The 20,699-nt window shown below is 48.3% G+C and overlaps 1 protein-coding gene across 6 annotated transcripts, besides 5 other annotated features; it reads right to left on the bottom strand.

The window, feature by feature from the left end:
* Positions 1 to 880: 880 nt before the first annotated feature.
* PTPN18 (protein tyrosine phosphatase non-receptor type 18) lies at positions 881 to 20,230 on the bottom strand. Of its 6 annotated transcripts, XM_006712417.2 has the most exons (16): positions 20,086 to 20,230; positions 17,311 to 17,419; positions 16,977 to 17,053; positions 16,794 to 16,889; positions 16,640 to 16,678; positions 7,085 to 7,153; positions 6,459 to 6,521; positions 6,096 to 6,238; positions 5,663 to 5,729; positions 5,504 to 5,581; positions 5,322 to 5,411; positions 4,999 to 5,087; positions 3,803 to 4,029; positions 3,339 to 3,413; positions 3,066 to 3,129; positions 881 to 1,620 (listed from the first exon to the last, which is right to left on the bottom strand). In XM_006712417.2, the coding sequence occupies exons 1-16, from the start codon at positions 20,176 to 20,178 to the stop codon at positions 1,605 to 1,607; spliced, it is 1,395 nt and encodes a 464-aa protein (XP_006712480.1). In that variant the 5' UTR covers positions 20,179 to 20,230; the 3' UTR covers positions 881 to 1,604. The 6 variants fall into 6 exon arrangements, with proteins under 6 accessions (XP_006712480.1, NP_055184.2, XP_006712479.1 ...); NM_014369.4 differs by having other exon boundaries at positions 881 to 3,129; XM_006712416.5 differs by lacking the exons at positions 16,640 to 16,678; positions 16,794 to 16,889; positions 16,977 to 17,053; positions 17,311 to 17,419.
* Positions 3,353 to 4,102: a silencer, noted in NCBI's record as "silent region_11958". NCBI's record gives its function as "represses an Ori minimal core promoter by ATAC-STARR-seq in GM12878 lymphoblastoid cells {active_cell/tissue: GM12878}" and the evidence as "EXISTENCE:reporter gene assay evidence [ECO:0000049][PMID:35858748]".
* Positions 3,353 to 4,456: a biological region, named in NCBI's record as "H3K27ac-H3K4me1 hESC enhancer GRCh37_chr2:131129403-131130030".
* Positions 3,829 to 4,456: an enhancer, noted in NCBI's record as "H3K27ac-H3K4me1 hESC enhancer chr2:131129403-131130030 (GRCh37/hg19 assembly coordinates)". NCBI's record gives its function as "activates a minimal SCP1, AML or CMV promoter by ChIP-STARR-seq in naive H9 embryonic stem cells {active_cell/tissue: H9 hESC(naive)}" and the evidence as "EXISTENCE:reporter gene assay evidence [ECO:0000049][PMID:30033119]".
* Positions 19,791 to 19,840: a silencer, noted in NCBI's record as "silent region_11957". NCBI's record gives its function as "represses an Ori minimal core promoter by ATAC-STARR-seq in GM12878 lymphoblastoid cells {active_cell/tissue: GM12878}" and the evidence as "EXISTENCE:reporter gene assay evidence [ECO:0000049][PMID:35858748]".
* Positions 19,981 to 20,650: a silencer, noted in NCBI's record as "silent region_11956". NCBI's record gives its function as "represses an Ori minimal core promoter by ATAC-STARR-seq in GM12878 lymphoblastoid cells {active_cell/tissue: GM12878}" and the evidence as "EXISTENCE:reporter gene assay evidence [ECO:0000049][PMID:35858748]".

Below are 20,699 nucleotides of genomic sequence, written 5' to 3'. Positions count from 1 at the left end.
GAGAGCAAGAGACGGGTGGAGGATTGCCTCTCCCATTGCTGAGCTTTCTTAACAAGAGAACGGTTTTTATGTCAGCCTGAAGTAGTGATCTACATGAGCAAAGACATGGGTCTGGAAAGAGGAAAAGAATATTTGAGACAAGGTGTCATACTTTACTAGAAGTGAGGAAACCCGGAGTAAATGGTGTGAGATAAATCAGCCTGCACACTTCCTAAGTGTCAGCACTGTTCTCGGAGCTGGGACAGTAGCTGTAAACCAAACAAAAACTCCTGCCCTCACGCAGCTTACATTCTGATCAGGAGAGACAGGAAACAATATTAAGAGGTAAATGTTCAAATATATTAGAGGCAGAATCTAGGAGAAAAGTATCCAAGGCAGAGAGAATAACCAGGGCAAATGCCTGAGTGGAAACTGTGCTTGCCATGCTGGGCCAGGAGTGAGGCTACTGGGTGTGAAGTCAGAAACCAAGAAGGCGCAGAGACTGGACCCTCCTCGCATGCTGACAAGGTGGCCTGCACAGCTCCACATCACATGCACATGTGTATAAAACACCAGACCAAGGCCGGGAGCAGTGACTCACGCCAGTAATCCCAGCACTTCGTGAGGCAGGGGCAGGTAGATCACGAGGTCAGGAGTTCGAGACCAGCCTTGCCAACGTGGTGAAACCCCATCTCTACTAAAAATACAAATATTAGCTGGGCATAGTGGTACACGCGTTTAATCCCAGCTACTTGAGAGGCTGAGGCAGAAGAATTGCTTGAACCTGGGAGGCGGAGACAGAGGTTGTAGTGAGCCAAGATTGCGACATTGTACTCCAGCCTGGGCGACAGAGCAAGACTCCATCTTTGGGGAAGAAAAAAAGGAAAAACAGACCTCTGAATCGGAGAAATGGACAGTTTATTACTCACAGTGAACACAGCAGCCAGAACAGTATCTTTAGTCACTTTCCCATGCCCCTATTCCCAAGAAGAGGGCATGTGGATCGTACCAGCTGGGCAGGCAGTGGGTCTGCATCCCAGGAGAGGGACCCGAAACTGGGAGACTTGGAGATTTTATCAGGGCTGTGGAGGACCTGCCTTTCTTCTCCTCCAGAGATAGATGACTCATTATCCAGCAACACAGAGGTCAGCACCGACCTCACCAGCAGCAGGCTCACAGGAGTGGCAGGGGCATTGGGAGAGTGGGAGGCAGCACAGGGTCAGCTCTTTCACGAAAACAGAGAAACGGGGCAGCTCTAGAGTGGGAGTAGGGGCACAGAGAACAGGAAGGAAAGGCGGCCGGCGAAGGTATGATATCACACCAGCTCCCACTGTGGGCACCCAAACCCAAGCCTCCTGGGAAAGTCTGGGAACTGTTAAAAATCCACACCTCAGCATCACCCTGCCAAGGGGTGGGGTGGGGTATGTACACATCCCCATCATTCCTTGATTGAAGGCTGCAGGAGAGTGGAGTTCATGCCAAGGCACTTGAGATCGACCATGGATGCAGCCAGGCAGAGGCAGAGGAAGGCCAGCCCTATCCCAGAGAAGGGCAGGACAGGGGTGGACATGGGGCCCAGGGCACTGTGGCAGTGCATACAGGGACCTGGGCAGGCACAGTGTCAGTCAGAGGTCCAGAGACCTGAAAGTGAGAGGGGCGGGACCCTTGAGGTTCAGGGAAAGAGCATCTTATACTTTTTCCATTTTGCAGTGACTTGGAGATTTGTCCACACCAGTGCACAGAGACGTGTCCTCCTTTTATTTCTTTTAACAGCCGCTTAATGTTTTATCCTAGCAGGAACCCTACCATGGGCCATTTAAAGTGTTTCAAATCTTAGGGGGCTGAGCCTGGTGGCTCACACCTGTAATCTCAGCACTTTGGGAGGCTGAGGCAGGAGGATTGCTTGAGGTTGGGAGTTCAAGACCAGTCTGGGCAACATGGCAAAAACTCATTTCTTAAAAAAAAAAAAAATTAGACCTGTAGTCCCAGCTACTCGGCAGGCTGTGTGAATAGTAAGGGGTCAGTCTGGTTGGGAGTCTGTCTGGCGGGGGTCTGGCTGGGGTCTGCCTAGATAGGTCCTGATTTGCTGGGGGTCCATCTGTCTGAATAGCTGGAGATGTGTACTCATTTGGGGGACTTGTCTGTCAATCTGGAGGATCATGTCTGACTAGCTGGGGTCCATCCATCAAGACATCAAGATGAGAGTCTGGCCGGCTGGCTGGGATGTCAGGATTCCATGTGGCTGATGTCTGCCTGTCTGGCAGTCCATCTGGTTGGTTAGGAGTCTGTCTGGCCAGAAGGTCTGTCAGCCAGCCAGCCCACCTGAGGGTGGGGGTGGGGTCTGAGAACTCTGTGTATCTGTTCAGCAGGGGATCTGTTTATATCTGTCTAGTAATCTAACTTAGGGGGTCCACCTGGCTGTCCAGCTAGCAGAGATGTCTGTCTTTTGGGGGCTCTGTTTGGTGGTCTCTCTGGCTGCACTGGTCTATCAAGCTGTTGGCTGGTCTCTCTCTCTCTGGCTGGGGATCCCTTTGTCCACCTGTGGACTGTATCTCTGAAGCTTTGGCTGTCTGTCCAGGTTGGTGGTCCATCTGTCTGTCTGCCTATCTGGAGGTCTTTTTATCGGTCTGCCTGGGGTTAATCTGCTTGGCTGTGGTTATGCCTGGCTTAGTTCTGCCTGGATGGCGAAGTGTCCATCCACTTCTCTGTGTGGTCCCCTGAGTGTCCAAGTGAGGGAGGCTCAGGTGCTGAGGATGGACTAGTGCTGTGTGGTGAGGAGAGCAGTCTCCGGAAGCTCATCTGTCCCTTCTCCCCTTCATAACTCAGGGGTCATGCCCCTTCCTGATCTTCTTTCTTGAATCTGCTCTGTGCAGCCTCACCAGCCACTATACCCTAGCTACCTCCTCCAGCCTCAAGCCTTGAATGCTACAGTCATTGGGGCAAAGCCCCCACATTTCCCACCCTGAGAAACTTTAACTTTGATCCAGGCCCACTGTTTCCATTCTGCGCACGGCGCTCAGCAGCACCGGGGCATCAGCAGTCCGAGCTCACAAGAGGCAACAGGCAGGAACTGGCGTTAGACTTACACCCGGGTCCACTCAGCAGGCGGGTCCCGGGGACCCTTCGGCCTCCCAATGCGCAGGTTGAAACCTGGGAGAAGAAGGGTGCCGTGGGTCTCATGGAGAAGCTGAGGTGTGTGGAAGCTGGCAGACATGAAGAAGGCCATCCCCCCGCCTCCAGGTCCTCCTGGTTCACTGCAGCCACATCCACAGGACTAAGCTCCATGCCCCATCAACCCCAGACTCCTGGGTTCACTCAAAGCAGCAAAGTCCCAGCAACCCAGGCTCTACCTGACTTACCTAGCCCACCGGTCTGAGCTCCACCCGCCACGTCCTCGTAGGCGCCAGATCCGGCAGGACTTTGGTCAGCAGGAACTGAGGGCAGCAGACCCCCCACGGGTCAGCTCCGGAAGCCCCAGGGAGTCCCAAGACCCCACCCCTAGCGGGGACGCTTCCCCGGAGGCCCGAAGGGGAGAGCCGAGGGCGCCGGGCGGGAGAAGGCACACACCCCGGACGTGGCCTCCAGCCTTTGGGCGCGGCCAAGACAAGTATTGCCAGGAACCCTGCCCCTGGACCGCGACTGCGACCGCCAGGGGGCGCTTCCGGGGCGTGGCCAGGGACGCCTGGACATCAGCGTCGGGGCGTGGCCAGGCTAGCGGCTGGGGTCCCCGCGGCCGCCAGGGCCTGACGGACCACTGCAGGATGGTTCCGCCCTGCGGATCACAGCAGGATGATGCCCTGAGAAGGAGCAAGCCTCGACTCACCGCGGCCAGGCAGCGTCCCCCTCGCGTCCTCCGCGTGCGCCCCGGGTCGCTGGGCGCGCGGCGTCACCTTGCTGTAGAGCGGCGCCTCCTCCGCGCTGCGCGCCCCCGTCCCCGTCCCCGTCCCCGTCTGCGTCCCACTCCCGGCGCCCGCTGGAGCCCCGCGCTTCTGCACCACCGCGTAGGTGTCAGCCATGGCGTGGCCCGGGGACCCGGGCACAGAGATGCTCCTGCAGGCAGGGAGGGCCGGGAGGAAGTGAAACGGCGGCGCTGGGCAGGGCGGGAGTGGGGAGGCTGCTCAGCGCGCAAACCACGGGCTTCCTTCCCGCCGAGGCGGTGCGCTAGATGGGAGGGAGGGCTCCTTGGGTTGGAGGCCTCGCTTCTGTGTCCCTAGCGCCCTGCAAGTTAGGGGGATGAAGGAGGAACGGGGTCAGCCTGGAGGGTAATTTGGGGCAGAGTGTTGGTTTGAGGGGTGGTCATTTCTGTGTCAACGTCTACTGAACAAAAGAATGCGGAAGTGGCATAGAAGACAGGAAGGGATGGCCGCAAGGACAAGGGCCTTAAGTCTCCGCTGCGAAGGCGGCTCAATCCCATGTCCGCAGCACCCAACGTGCGGCCTGACAAGAAGGCGGCGTCTAGAATTATTTGCTGAATTTTTTTTGTTGTTTTTTTGAGACAGGATCTCGCTCTGTCGCCCAGGCTGGACTGCCGTGGTGCGATCTCGGCTTACTGCAACCTCCACCTCCCGGGCTCAAGCGACTCTCCTGCCTCAGCCTCCGGAGTAGCTGGGATTACAGGCTCTCACCAGCACGCCTGGCTAATTTTTGTATTTTTAGTAGAGACAGGGTTTCACCATGTTAACCAGGCTGGTCTCCAGCTGGGCTCAAGTGATCCGCCCTCCTTGGCCTCCCGAAGTGCTGGGATTACAGGGGTGAGCCACCTGAATTAAGGTTTGATTAGAGGATCCAGGAAAGGCCTAACTCAGAAGGCAGGGCAAGCCTTAGAGGCAGAGGCAAGGGGTAAATGAATCATCTTGGGATAATTGAATCATCTTGGGGTGGGTTCCCAGAGCTCAATTCGAAGAAAGGGCCAGCGAACACTTGGCGAAGTGAACAAGGAACGGACTGGTGTTCCAAGGATGAAGAAGGGGTTAGCCTGAGAAATTGGGCAGGGAAGAATCCGGGGATGGAGCCGGGTACCTGAGGACCCCTCCTGGTGGGCGGGGTATGGCGAGAAGTGCCTGGGGAGTCCGGAGGAAGAGGGCATCGTCGTAGAGTGGGGCACAATTCTGAAGAAAAACAGGAGGGGAGGCTCCTGAGGGAGGAAGCTGGCCAGGCCTCTCAAGGGGCTCTGGGAGAAAGCTTAAGATGGGAGAGCCTGATAAGGATGCCTGGAGGAGGGCACAGGTGGATGTCATAGTCAGTGCCTGCTCCCAGTAGTCCCGGGGGCTGGACCCTGCTCGGGGTCCTGGTCTCTGAGGGTGCTGATGGTGGACAGGAGAGTGGGAAAGGAGCCTCTGTACCTCTTTGATGTTCTGGTAGTGGGGGCTGGCATTCTGGAGTGTGGAGCAGAACATCTGAGCCACCGTGTGGTACAGGAACCTGTACTGCTCCTGTTGGGGTGAGGGACCATCAAGAAGGGAAGGCAGGGGCAAATGACAGCAGTGGGCCACTGTCCCTGAAGATTAGGAGACCCAGGGTTCACCTCTGTCTGCACGGCCGCAGGCCGCTGCTTCCTCATCTTAAGGACCACATCAAAGAGACTGAAGTCAGGTGGGATCATCTGGGGCAGACAGACAAGGCACTTGAGCAGGACACGTGGTCATGGGCAGCACACTGCACACACAGGATGCCTGTATCGTACCTGGGTCAGGAGCAGCTGCCTCACATAATCCACGGTGCACAGGACGCCTGTTCGCCCACAACCCGCACTGACAAGAGAATCAGAGTGTGCCTGGTCAGGTCCTGACCACAACCCCTTTTAGATGGGGCATTTGGGGATGGGGGTGAGGGTCCTGATGGATCCCCTGCAGAGCCTCTTGATTCCCAGAATCTTCAGATTATATCTGAACAAGGAAAACCTTTTTAATCACTTACATTTTGTTGAGCAAGAGCTGTGTGCTTATTCCCCAGCTGAGTCTGTGCTGAACAAGTGCTCACAATTACAGTCCATGGAGGGTGAGCAAGGGTTCTCAAAATAGGCACTCAGACTACAAGACTAGCCCCATGCCCTGTACTCCCCTCCATGCTCTGTCCCCTCTGCCTCACCAGACCCTCCTGAAGCCCATTTCCAAAACCTGCAGTGGACACAGAGGGGTTCAGGGCCAGATCCCTGGAGGCGACGGGCTTCCTCCACCATGGCGAGCATGTGGTCAGGACTGCTGGGGACCCCACGGTCTGGCCAGGACATATACTGTAGCTGGTACACAGAACGGGACTCCTGAAACACAGAAAAAGATGAGCAAAAGACTTAGGAAAAAAAAGAAAAAAGCATTAATTGGCCATCTACTATACACCAGGCCCACTTCTAGGCATCTTCCATTTATGTCTACCAGACAATAACTGAGGAAGTGGGTACTAGTATGATGCCCATTTTTACAGGAGAGGAAACCTCTCCCCTTTCAGGAGCCCCTTTACCTCCTCCTCCCCTGTCACAGTACCTTCTGGAATGTGACCTTGAGGGTCCTGAGCATGATGTCCTCATTCAGCCACTTCTCCTTTATCTGAGTAAGGGGGGTGGGGCAAGTAAGAAGAGGGAGGAGAACAAAGATCATAGGTACCAGAAGACATTTATAGAAAGCAAAGCATTCCTGATTAAAAAATCAAATACAGAAAACATTTTAAAAATTCATATAGCCCAAACTTTCCCCAAAGCTTTCATTAAGGAAACATTTGACACAGGAGCAAAAGAGGAACTATTATAAAAACACAAGCCCTTTTGCAATGAAAAGAGATGTCTTTTGTTCTAAAATGAAACTTTTATTGCATTTATTAAGTACTAACTGTATGTATGACTTGAGAGAGTTCCCCAAGCTCTTTTGAAATGGTAAGAGAAGTAAGAATTTCAACAACCTAACCAGGCACATTTACATGACAGAGATTAACTGATTGTAGCCAAAATAAAAATGCAAAGGCTATCCCTATAGTAAGTTCTAACTATTTGCAGGCTAACACCAGAGGGTTTCCTGCAGTATGAGTGGACTGTGGGTTAAATCATTCAACCTTTTAGGCCCAACCCAAAGCCTTTCCACCCTGGGAATCTTCCTTGAAAACTCCCACAGCTCACCAGAGTGATGCAGAAAAGCCCAGTCTGCAGTGGCTCCTGCTCCTGGGCCCAGTACCGCTCACACCTTTTCTGCAAAAGGTAAGGGAGAAAAGGCAGGGAGTGAGAAGAGGGAGTCAGCTTCAGAGCTAGCTCAATCATGCCACAAGACACCCCAGGTGCTCGTGGTGGAAGCACAGGCAGCTATACTTATAACCTATAACAGACGCCAGCCAACAGAGCCATCAGATTAAACACATGCAGACTCAATGGAGGTGCGCTGCTGACCATGCAGGGGAAATACAGTCCAGGATACCCTCCCACTGTAAGCAACTAGAAACTGGACAAAATACATGAGCCACTATTTTCAGACACTGGTTGGCAGGTGTTGCAGTACTGTGGTCACTGAACAGACCACTCCGGCTTATTGCATGGAAGTGTCACCAGGCTGTAAGACATGAGTCTAATGATCCCACTGAGTTGAGCCAGAGACCATGGCTCAAGGAGGCAAAAGCAGCTAGAATTTGCAGGGCAGAGTCCTGGAAGGAACAGAGGTATGCAAATAAAAACAAAACAATAACTTGCATAGAAGTCCCCTCCTTGATTCTTTGGTTGAATAATCTGAATATATACAACATGAAACCCCATGAGGCCAGGCAAGAATAACTTACCATGAAAGAATAGTAGGGATCTGTAGGATGAACATTTCCTTGAGCTCATGATGAGAAAGAATTCACATTCCCTCTAGCTAGAGTGTAGAGGCATTATCAACTATAAGGGGCATTTAGTAGGGAACCTAGAATGACCACACATTAGAAGTACGGCTAAATTAATTCTAGAACAAAGGCTACTTGATCAACCATCCAAAAGTTCCTGAAAAGGCAAAACACTCTAAAGAAAACAATCCAACACTTACCTGTGCAAAATTCAAAATATCAAGCATCCAATAAAATTTTGCTGGACATACAAAGAAGCAGGAAAGTGTGACCCATAACCAGGAGAAAAATTAGTCAATAGGAAAGGGCCCAGAAATAACAGTTCAGGAAAGAAGCAAAAATCTTAAAATGGCTATTACAAATACACTCAAAGATGAAAAGGAAAACATGAACATGATGCAGAGTGGAATGAAAGATACAAAAAATAACCTGAATGGAATTTATAAAGAGGAAAAATAAAATATATGAAATGAAAAATCCACTAATAGCAGGGTAGACACTAGAAGAAAGGATCAATAGACATGAAAACATAGCAATATAAATAATTCAAAATGAAATGAAAAAAATGAAAAAGAATCAGTTCTCTGTAGAAATATACCAGTCTAGTGTATGTGCACGTGGAGTCCAGAAGGAAAGGAGAAAGGGGGATAACAGAAACTTTATGTAAAGAAATAATAGGTGAAAATTTTCCCAAATTCGATGAAACTATGAACCCACAAATCCAAGAAAGTCAATGAACCAGAGGGAGAATAAACCTAAACCTAAAGAAAGTCACGCCAAGGCAGATCATGATCAAATTACTGAAAAAGAATGAAGAAGAGAAAAAAAAATTTTTTTTTGAGACCCTTGCTCTGTCACCCAGGCTTGGCGTGCAGTGGCTCAATCTCGGCTCACTGCAACCTGCAACTCCCAGGTTCAAGCGATTCTCCTGCCTCAGGCTCCTGAGTAGCTGGGATTACAGACACACACCACCATGTCCAACCTTTTTTTGTATTTTTAGTAGAGACAGGGTTTCACCAGGTTGGCCGGGCTGGTCTCGAACTCCTGACCTCAAGTGATACACCTACCTTGGCCTCCCAAAGTGCTGGGATTACAGGCATGAGCCACCACACCAGGCCCCAGAAGAGAAAATCTTAAAAGCATTATGCACAAAAGGACACATCACATACTGAGGAACAAAGTTAAGAATTATAGCAACATTTTGTCAGAAACGGCAAGTCAATGCTATGATATCCTAAAAATGCTGAAAACCTTTTCAGACAAATGAAAGCTGAGGGAATTCATCACAAACAAATCTGCATTATGAGAAATATTAGAGTAAGCTCTTCAGATGCTTACAGACAGTGGCTGCTCCAGCTATTTGAGAGGCTAAGGCAGGAGGATTGCTTGAGGCCACTTCAACACCAGCCTGAGCAACATAGCCTGTATCTTAAAAAAAAAAAAAAAAAAAAAAAAAAAATTAAAATTAGCTAGGTGTGTTGGCAACATAGCTAGCCTGTATCTAAAAAAAATCTTTTTTAGTTAGCTGAGTGCAGTGGCACACCTGTACTCCCAACTACTTGGCAGGCTGAGGTGGGAGGATTGCTTAAGCCCAGGAGTTTGAGGCTGCAGTGAGTGGTGACTGCACACTGCACTCCAGCCTGTATGACAGAGTGAGACCCTATCTCTTAAATAAATAGAATAAGTAAGCTCTGCATACAAAAGGAACGTGATACAAATGGAAATACAGATCTACACAAAATAACAGGGAGAAAAGTAAGTGGCTAAATGTAAAAGATATTTCATTTTAAACATCTTTAAAAGATAATCTAGTGAATTTTATCAAACAAAGAGGAATTAATACCAGCCTTTCACAAACTCTTGCAAAAAACTGAGAGGAACCATTTCCCAACATATTGTATGAGGCTAGTATTACCCTGGCACCAAAACCAAAGACATCACAAGAAAAGAAAACTACTAACCAATATCTCACAAACATAGACACAAAAATTCTCAATGAAGTACTAGCAAAGTATTAAACACCATGACTAAGTGGGATTAATTCCAGGAATGCAAGATTGGTTCAACATATGAAAGTCAATGTCATACACCATATTAGTAGAATACAAAACACACGATCATCTGAATAGATGCAAAGAACAAAATTTGACAAAACTCAACAGCGTTTCATAAAAAAGTTCATTAGAAACTCAGTGCCCAGGATTTTTATTGGGGCACCGTCTGCACAGAATGTAGGCACACTCTGCCTAGCCTGTACCAAAATGTCAGACTACCAGCAGGAGAACAGGTGTTCTGCATAAAGCATATTGTTTGTATTAACAGTTCAGGCATAGTGAGCCACTGTTATCAGAAACCTAGGTTTCTAGAGGCCACCCAAGAGTCAACCTTACAGGAAGGCCTTTCTAAGCATAAACATTTATGCTTGCCATGTTTAACTCTTCTGCACAGCAGGGGACCTACCCAAAATAGCCAAAACAATCTTGGAAAAAAGAACAAATTTGGAAGACTCATACTTCCTGATTTCAGAACTTCTACAAAGGTATAATAATCAAAACTATGTTACACTGGCACAAGGATAAACACATCAATCAGCTTAATAAAATTGAGAGTTCAGAAATAAACCCTTATATTTATGGCCAATTAATTTTCAACAAAGGGGCCAAGACGGTTCAATGGGCAAAGCATAGTCTTTTCAACAAATGGTGCTGGAACAACTGGATAGTCACATGCAAAAGAGTGAATGTGGACCCCTATCTCACATCACATACAAAAGTTCATTCAAAGTAAATCTGAGACCTAACTGTAAGCAAGAAAACTATAAAACACTTAGAAGGAAGAACAGGAGTAAGTCTTTATGACCTCTGATTAGACAATGACTTCTCAGATACACCAAAAGCACAGCAACACAATAGATTGGAATTAAAGTTTCACAAAATGTTTGTGCTTCAAAACACACCATCAAGAAAGTGGAATGACAACCCACAGAATGGGAAAGACATTTTAAATCATGTACTGATAAGGGACTTATATACAGAATAACGCTTACAACTCAATAATAAAAAGACAACCCCAAATAGCCCAATTTTAAAATGAATAAATGACATGAATAGACATTTGGCCAGAGAAGATATACAAATGGACGAATAAGCACATGAAAACCAAAACCACAATGAGGTACCACTTCCCACTCATTAGGATGGCATATATGTCATTGTCATATGCCACATAATGATGTTTTGGTTAACAACAGACCACATATACAATGGTGGTGCCATAGATTATAATGGAGCATATGTAGAAACCTGATACATGGCACTTGATATTGACACTGCATATTAAGTTGGGGAAATGATTGATACTCAGTAATGGTGCTGGGACATTTGGTTTTCCATATGAAAAATATATAAATAAAAAATGTATATACTATCTATGTTTGTGTAAGTATACTCTATGATGTTTACACAATGACAAGATAGTCTTAACAATGCAGACCATATCCCTGTCATTAAACTACACATGTCCCTCCCTCCCTCTCTCTCTCTCTGCTGATGGGAACGTAAAATGGTACAGCCACTGTGGAAAACAAAATGTTGAACATAGCGTTATCATATGATCCAGCAATTCCATGCTAGGTGTATACCCAGGGAACTGAAAACAGGGATTCAAACAGATACTAGTATACCAATTTTTTGTTGTTGTTGTTGTTGTTGTTTTGAGACGGAGTCTCGCTCTGTCGCCCAGGCTGGAGTGCGGTGGTGCGATCTCGGCTCACTGCAAGCTCCGCCTCATGGGTTCACACCATTCTCTTGCCTCAGCCTCCCGAGTAGCTGGGACTACAGGCGGCTGCCACCACGCCTGGCTAATTTTTTGTATTTTTAGTAGAGGTGGGATTTCATCGTGTTAGCCAGGCTGGTCTCGATCTCCTGACCTCGTGATCTGCCTGCTTCGGCCTCCCAAAGTGCTGGGATTACAGGCGTGAGCCACTGTGTCCAGCCTGTATACCAATGTTTGTAGCCGCCTTATTTACAATAGTCAAAAGGTACAAACAACCCAGATGTCCAACAGGCGAATGGATAAACAAAATGTGATATATACATACAATGAAATATTATTTGGCCTTGAAAACAGTGAAATTCTGATACACACTGCAACATGGATGAACCTTGAAAAAAGGACAAGTATTGTATATTAGTGTATTCCTGATTCCACTTGCATGAGGTACCTAGAATAGGCAAATTCATAGGGACAGAAAGGAGAATAGAGGTTACCTGGAAATGGGGGAATGGGGAGTTATTGTTTAATGAATACAGAATTTCTGTTTGGGATGATGAACATGTTCTGAAAATAGACAGTAGGAATGGTTAATCCATTGTGAATGTACTTAATTCAATTGAATTGTACACTTGAAATGGTTTAAATGGCAAAATTATTTTTAACATTCCTCACAGCACCTATAAACTGGCAAATTTTATGTTATGTATATTTTACCACATAATTTAAAGAAAGACACAATGGCATACCACTTCACAACCCCTAGGATGGCTATAATTAAAAAAAAAAAAAAGACAGTAACAAGCATCAGGGAGAAGAAATGGGGACCCTCAAACATTGCCGTGGAAATGTAAAATGATGCTGCCACTGTGGAAAACAGTTTGGCACTTCCTCAAAATGTTAAAAATAGAGTTTCCATATAGCCCAGCAATTCCCAGCAATACCCAAGAGACATGAAAACCCACATCTACACAGAGACTTGTATATCAGTGTTGATAGCAGCACTGTTCATAATAGCCAAAAAGTAGAAAGAACCCAATTTCTGTCAACCAATAAGTAAAATGTGGTAGATCCATTCAATGGAATAGTATTCAGCAAACAAAACAAAACAAAACAAAAATGCTAAGCAAAAAAAGGCTACATATTATGTGATTCAATTATATGAAATGTCCAAAGTAAGCAAATGTATAAAGGCAAAAATAGATTAGGGATTGTCTGGGGCTGTAGAGGTTGCTGGGAAATGGGGAGTGACTGCTAATGGATATAGGATTTCTTTTCTTTTTCTTTTTTTTTGAGAGACAGTCTTGCTCTGTGGCCAGGCTGCAGTGTAGTGGCACAATCTCAGCTCACTGCAACCTCCAACTCCCTGGTTCAAGCTATTCTTCTGCCTCAGCCTCCCGAGTTGCTGGGATTACAGGCACATGCCACCATGCCCAGCTAATGTTTGTATTTTTAGTAGAGACGGGGTTTCACTATGTTGGCCAGGATGGTCTTGATCTCCTGACCTCGTGATCCACCAGTCTCAGCCTCCCAAAGTGCTGGGATTACAGGCATGAGCCACCATGTCTGGCCTGGATTTTTTTATGGAATGATGAAAATGTTCAAAAACTTATTGTGGTAGGCCGGGCACGGTGGCTCATGCCTGTAATCCCAGCACTTTGGGAGGCTGAGGTGGGCGGATCACGAGGTCAGGAGATTGAGACCATCCTGGCTAACACGGTGAAACCCCGTCTCTACTAAAAATACAAAAAATTAGCCGGGCGTGGTGGCAGGCGCCTGTAGTCCTAGCTACTCGGGAGGCTGAGGCAGGAGAATGGCGTGGACCCGGGAGGCGGAGGTTGCAGCGAGCTGAGATCGCGCCATTGCACTCCAGCCTGGAGGACAGAGCGAGGCTCCGTCTCAAAAACAAAAACAAAAACAAAAACAAAAATCTTACTGTGGTAATAGTTGCATAGCTCAGGAATATAGAAAAATGATGGAACTGTACACTTTAAATGACTGAATTGTATATCAATAAAGCTGTTTAAAAAGATATTCTAAAACAACTATAATAGCAGTGTACTGTGGAGTATATTTTATATATAGAACTATAATATATAGTAACAATAGCACAAAGCATGGAAAGGGGTAATCGAAATATACTACAGTAAAGTTCTGACATTTTACATGAAATGTAGAATATTATTTGACTATAGACTATAAGTTAAAGATATATATTGTAAACCCTAAAGCCACAACTAAATATTTAAAATAAAGATGTATAGCTAATAAGGGAATAATTACTATGCAATAGATTAATAAAAAATTCTCACTCTGAAAGAGAAAAAAAGAAGAAAAGAACAAACAGAGCAAATAGAAAACAAATAGCAAGATGGTAGGTTTAAACCCAACATTATTGATAATTACATTAAAGGCTGAATATTCCAATTAAAGGCAGAGACTGTCAGATTAGATTTAAAAGTAAGTCCTGGCTAGATGCAGTGGCTCATGCCTGTAATCTTAGCACTTTGGGAGGCCGAGGTGGAAGGACAGCTTGAGGCCAGGAGTTCGAGACCAGCCTGGATTATACGTGAGACTTAATCTCTACAAGAAATAAAAAACAATTAATCAGGCACGGTGGTGTATGCCTGTAGTCCCAACTCCTCAGGGAGGCTGCGCTAGCATGATCATTTGAGCCCAGGATTTTGAGGTTACAGTGAACTATGATTGCACCACTCCATTCCCCTCTGTCTTAAAAAAAAAAAGTCCCTACAATACACCACCTACAAGAAACACACTAAAAAATAAAGATGAACATAGATACAAAGTAAAAGAATGGGAAAAGACATATGCAAACTCTAAAGAAATTTAAGGCCGAGGGCGGTGGCTCATGCCTGTAATCTCAGGACTTTGGGAGGCTGAGGCGGGTGGATCACCTGAGGGCAGGAGTTTGAGACCAGCCTGGCCAACATGGTGAAACCCCATCTCTACTAAAAATACAAAAATTAGCTGGGCGTGGTGGCAGGCACCTGCAATCCCAGCTACTCGAGAGGCTGAGGCAGGAGAATCGCTTGAACCTGGGAGGCAAAGGTTGCAGTGAGCCAAGATCGCGCCATTGAACTCCAGCCTGGGTGACGAGGGAAACTGCATCTCAAAAAAACAGAAAGAAAGAAAGGAAAGAAAGGAAAGAAAGGAAAGAAAGAAAGAAAGAAAGAAAGAAAGAAAGAAAGAAAGAAAGAAAGAAAGAGAAAGAAAAGAAAGAAATTTAAATGGCTGTATTAATATCAAAGTACACTTCAGAAAAAAATATTAACAAATAAAGAGTCATTACATATTAGAAAGGGATCCAATCATTAGGAAGACATAATCCTAAATGTATATGTACTCAATCATAAAGTTTTAAAACATGAAAAGTAAAACTGAAAGAATAGTTAAAGCAGATTTCAACATTCCTCTTTCAGCAAATAATAGGGCAAGCAGACAAAAAAAATTGTCAGAAATAAGACTTGAATAGTGCTGTTGACAAACTTGACCTAATTAATACTTATTGAACAGTTGGTAATTTCAACACTCCTCTCTAAGCAATCCATACATTTAGAGAAAATAAATCAGTAAAGATATAAAATATACAGTAAAGATATAAAAGTGTCTTTTTAAAAAGTCTGTCAGTTGACCTAATTGGTATTTACAGGACACTCCAGCCAACCAAAGCAGAATACACATTGTTTTCAAGTACACTTGAAATTAAAGTAGAAAATGAATTAGTTGGGCGTGGTGGCATGTGTCTGTATTCCTAGCTACTCAGGAGTCTGGGGCAGGAGAATTGCTTGAACTTGGGAGGCAGAGGTTGCAGTGAGCTAAGATTGCACCACTGCACTCCAGTCTGGGCAACAGAGCAAGACTCTGTCTCAAAAAAAAAAAAAGTGGAAAATGAAAAAATCAATAGAGAAAATGAATACAAATGAATACAACCAAAGCAGGTTCTTTGAAAAAATAATAAAATGATAAACTTCTAGTCCAAAGATTGGCTGACATTTTTATAAAGGGTCAGATAAATACTTTAGAATTTACAGGCCATATAATTTATTCAACTTGCAACTACTCAACTCTGCCACTGTAGCATAAAAGCAGGCATACACAATATGTAAATAAATGAGTGTGGCTGTGTTCTAATACACTGTTTACAAAAAACAGGCAGGAGCATGAAAAAAGAGATAGCGAAATAGAGAGATGAGACAGAGAGAGAGAGAGAACACAAATTACCAAAATCAGGAATGAGAAAGAGACAAGACTACAGATCATACAGCCTCCACCATCAGCTAGTCACCCCAGGGAACCCCTACCCCATCCATGGAGTAGGCAAGAATGTAGAAACCACATGAAGCTATGTGCCTTCAGCCTTCAATATTGACATGCATTTATTTATTTAGTAACTAATTTATGTTAACAGGCAAAACAAAAATCCCTGGCCTTGTGGATCTTACCTTCTAAATCAGGGAGATTAAGCATAAACAATGTACATAATACATTTGTAGATTATCCAGTGTGTTAGGAGTTCATAAGAACTGTGAAGAAAGAAGGAAAAGTAGGACAAGGGAGGGAGAATGGAAGTGCTGAGAGTTTAAAATGGTGTGAAGACCCACCCCGGAAGGTCTCATTGAGGAATTACCATTTGAGCAAAGACCTGAAGGAGGTGATAGAGCAAGCCACAGGGAAGGATGTCCTAGGCTGAAGGAATAGCCAAGGCACAGACCCTGAGGCAGAGCCATCCCTGGAACATGGGAACAGCAGAGACCAGAGTTGTTAGAGTGGAGTGAATAAAGGGAAGAGAGGTGGAAAGAGAGATCAGAGCCTACAGGGGAAGCAGTCAGAATAGGGCCTTATGGTCTAAGGTGTGAAATGGCTGGGAAGCCCAGCAGGAGAGGGGTTGCCAACACTGGGGGATGAATAACATATCAACAAAAACTTAGAGGAACAATGGGGCTTCCCACAGAGCTACAATAAGGTCACTCCAAGAGCTGGACCCTCGGGTCCTGGGGTCAAGGAGGAGCTAGCAAGATCCCTCCTCCCTCCTCCCACAAGGACATGAAACCTGGGGGCAGAGGGCACCTACCCGCCCATTCTCTATCTCTCGACAGGCCATCAGGATCACCTAGACAAGGAGGGTCAGGGGAGAGGAAGGTGATTTGGGTGAGGGGGCCAGGGAAACTGCCGAGGGGGTACTTAGATGTTGACCCCACCATTGTGCCGCACCCCCAAGTGCTGACCTTGACCCCAAACTCCCAGACCAGTCTCCAGAAGTCTAGCAGGGTGTGAGGCAAGGGTCCTTGCGTGGCAATGTAGGCCAGGCTTCCATCCACGCCCTGGTGAAGGCCGAATTCACGACTGAGATTCTGCGGCCCACCCCTGGCCACTCCCAGTCCACCTCCTTCCGTGACCCCAACCCTCACCCGGATGAAGTTGCCATTAATGTAGTCGCTGTGTCCCTCTTCCTGGAGCAGGGAGAGGATTACTCGCGTCTGATCATCTGTCAGCAGATAAGGTGAGAAACGTGGAGTTTGGGTAGGATAGGGTGACGGAGCCTCTGACAGCCCCCTAGCTGAAAGCCAGCAGGGGACCACACACATGCAGAGATCCCACCAAGGTGCCCTTGTGGGCTGCTGAGCAGTGCAGAGGGTGAGGCTCTGGGAGGAGAGCACAGTGGGTGACTCCAGTGCACACTGACGCCTGGACGTGGCAGGGCGTGCAAGGCTGCACCGACTCCCTACGGAAGCCCCGACTTACAAGGCAGCACGTCTTTGTAGCGGTTCTTCCTCACGTTCTCTGGCCGACTGCCGGCCACGGTGGAGCACACGCCGTCAGCCTTCCAGGCGGCCGAGCAGGCCTGGATGTCCTGGTAGAGCATTATGAGTGGGTCAGGGAGGGGAGAAGACAGGAGAGGAGCCAGGTCAGAGTCCCAGGCCACCTAGGCACGCTTGCAGGATACAAAGCCAGTGGCCTGGGGAGGTGAGTGCAGACCCTGATGGCACTGGGCCTGCCTAATAATAATGATACCGAAATAGTGACCCAGGGCACCTTCTCTGTGCCACTCTCTGTGCTAAGGGCATGTAATCATCACAGGTTCCTACGACGTGGGTACTATTATTGACGTCCCCATTGTGCAGGCGGGAAAGTTTATGCACCACGTGGTTCAGCGACTTGTGGAAGGTCCCAACCAGGAAGTCACACGGTGAGGGTTGAACTCAGACCCTCTCGGCACCCACCCCCTGCACACTCAATCTGTGACATTGTCTTGTAAGCAATAACTGTAATGAAATATATTATGGGCTATGTAGCTAAACATATAAGACAATGTACAATGAATGCATAGGCATTATAATGGATAACATATTATGTACAAGATACTATAGGCACTGTGTTACTGGGAGATTATAATAATAATTAGTGAATCGTGTATTACCATCATCGTCAGGTATTCGTAATCTCAATGATAATAAGTAACACCCATGCCACCACTGTGTGCCAGCCACTATTCTAAGTGCTTTACTTGTGTCCATTGGGTCATTTAAGCCCTCATGATGCCCTTGTGTAGTGGGAACACCTAGAAGAGCGCAGTGATTCCTGCACATGCGGGAGGCAGGCTTGGGGAGCAGGGGTGCCCTCGCCACCCAGCCTTCCGCATGTGAGGCCCTCCGCACTGTACACGGTTCAGAACCCACCCAGTCGCATGATGTCATATATCACATGGGTATTATGTTTACATTTGTTACACACATTCTTATATTGTATAATTATATATTTTACATTTATTATGCATTTCTTAGTTTCTTATATACAATGTTTCTACATGTGTGTAAATTACTTAGGTTTATAATTATCTGTTACTTTTTTTTTTTTTTTTTTTGAGATGGAGTCTCGCTCTGTTGCCCAGGCTGGACTGCAGTGGCGCGATCTCGGCTCACTGCAAGCTCCGCCTCCCGGGTTCACGCCATTCTCCTGCCTCAGCCACCCGAGTAGCTGGGACTACAGGCGCCCGCCACCACGCCCAGCTAATTTTTTGTGTGTTTAGTAGAGACGGGGTTTCACCGTGTTAGCCAGGATGGTGTGGATCTCCTGACCTCGTGATCCGCCCGCCTCGGCCTCCCAAAGTGCTGGGATTATAGGCGTGAGCCACCGTGCCCGGCCATCTGTTACATATTTTATATCTACTTATGAATTTATCAAATAACTTTGGTCATTTTATAAATTATAATCTTTGTTATATTCATTTGTTGTATTGTTTTATGCAGTTATGCAATGTTTATTGTATAAACGGTCATTTATAATACTTTTATATATTTGTCATATTTCTAAACTTGATACATGTCACCATATATCAGTTTATGCGTTTGTATGGTATGTTTCTATGTCTGGTACATAAGCGATTACACTTTAAACACGTCATCAACTGTAATGTACAGTGCCTAGCATTCTGCGTGAGCCTTCCTAATGCTGGGCTTGCACTACCTGTATTGTAACGTTTAGATTTTTTGTTTGGTTTTGTTTTGTTTGAGATGGGATCTCACTCTGTGGCCCAGGCTGGAGTGCAGTGGCACCATCTCAGCTGTGCAGTGGAACCATCTCAGCTCACTGCAACCTCTGCCTCCCAGGTTCAAGCGAGTCCCCTGTCTCTGCTCCCTAGTAGCTGGGATTACAGGCATGCGCCCATGCCCAGTTGATTTTTGTATTTTTAGTAGAGACGGGGTTTCGCTGTGTTGCCCAGGCTGGTCTCGAACTCCTGAGCTCAAGCGATCCTCCCACCTCGGCCTCCCAAAGTGCTGGGATTACAGGTGTGAGCCACCGCACCTGGCCCACGTTTAGAATCTTTATAGGCAGTGACGAACGCCCCTACGAAGTGTGCGCCCAATATGTACTAAGTGCTTTTCACCCACATCATTTAATCCTTAGACCAGTTTGGTCATTCATGTCCCCATTTCACCAAGGGAGAAGCCGAGGTCAGAGGGGCCAGGTAGACCGCCTGGACCACACGCGGATGGCCGGGACGCGGATTCGGGACGGGAAGCGGATTCGGGCCCGGACGCGGATTCGAGCCCGGCGTTCACACCCTCACCACGCCACAGCCTCCGTGTTCCTCTTCGCCCTGCTGCAGCCCCTTCCTTCCTGTGGTCACAGGGGACAGTCAGGTCGCCAGAAGCGGCGGGGCCGGGGCTGTCCAGCGCAGCAGGGCCGCCCGCCCTCCCCTGCGGCGCCCGCCCCACCTGTCCCGCCCGCAGCCAGGTTGTTCCGGGAGCGCGACGAGGACACCGGGAACGAGGGTGTGCACGGTCCGTCCCGGCCTGGCCGTGGACGTCGCGCTCCGGGGCCGGGGGGCAGAGAGTGAAGACGGAGACAGCAAGAGCGACAGAGAAGTGCTGGGGAGAGAAACACGGAGAGACCCCCCGAGGCGGGGAGACACCGGGGACACCGAGACAGAAAGGCAGAGCCCGCCGTGCGCGGAGGACAGGCGTACGCAGGGCCAGGGCCGGGGCGCGCCGCTCGCGGACCCCGTGTGCCACTCACGCTGAACTCGCCGGCGAGGACTGCCCCCTCCCGGCCGCCCCGCGCTTCCAGCCGCTCCAGGAAGCTCCGCGCCGAGTCCAGGCTGCGGCTCATGGCGCCGCGGGCCAGCAAGGTCCAGCCCGGCCGCCGCGCGCGCGGCGAGTGTGGACGCCGCGGGAGGCGGAGGCCGGTGACTGAGTCCCCGCCCTTGCCTCGGCAGCCAATGGAAGCGCGCAGCGGCGGGCAGGGCGCCCCAGCCACCGTGTTCTGAGCCCGCGTAGCCCCACCCCGGGCGCTCGGGCCGCTGTGGCCGGAGCCCTAGGTCCTCGCGGGCTGCCCTGAGCAGAGTCCAGCGCCGGCGCTTCCCCTTTTTTTCGGCTGCCGCGCCCACTGGTGGGGGGGTGGCACGGTCCCAGGTTCGCTCCCTGCCGCTTGGGACCCGCCCTCAGATCGGGATCCGCGCCCAGGGGCCGACCTCCGGGTGCCGGCTCTGGGTGGACGGCCGAGCGGTCTCGCCGGGCCCTCCCGCCCGTCCCCTGGGAGCCAGGCCGCGCGGAGTCCGAGCTGGGGCGGGCAGCAGCCTTGGGTGGAGACGGTCGCCGAGATCAGGCTGCCCCTCGTGCCAGAGGACCCCG

The sequence above is a fragment of the Homo sapiens genome, chromosome 2 (genome assembly GCF_000001405.40).
Source record: "Homo sapiens chromosome 2, GRCh38.p14 Primary Assembly".
Taxonomy (NCBI): domain Eukaryota; kingdom Metazoa; phylum Chordata; class Mammalia; order Primates; family Hominidae; genus Homo; species Homo sapiens.
Note: the sequence above shows the minus strand (reverse complement) of the source record. Positions and strands in the feature narration are given on the sequence as shown.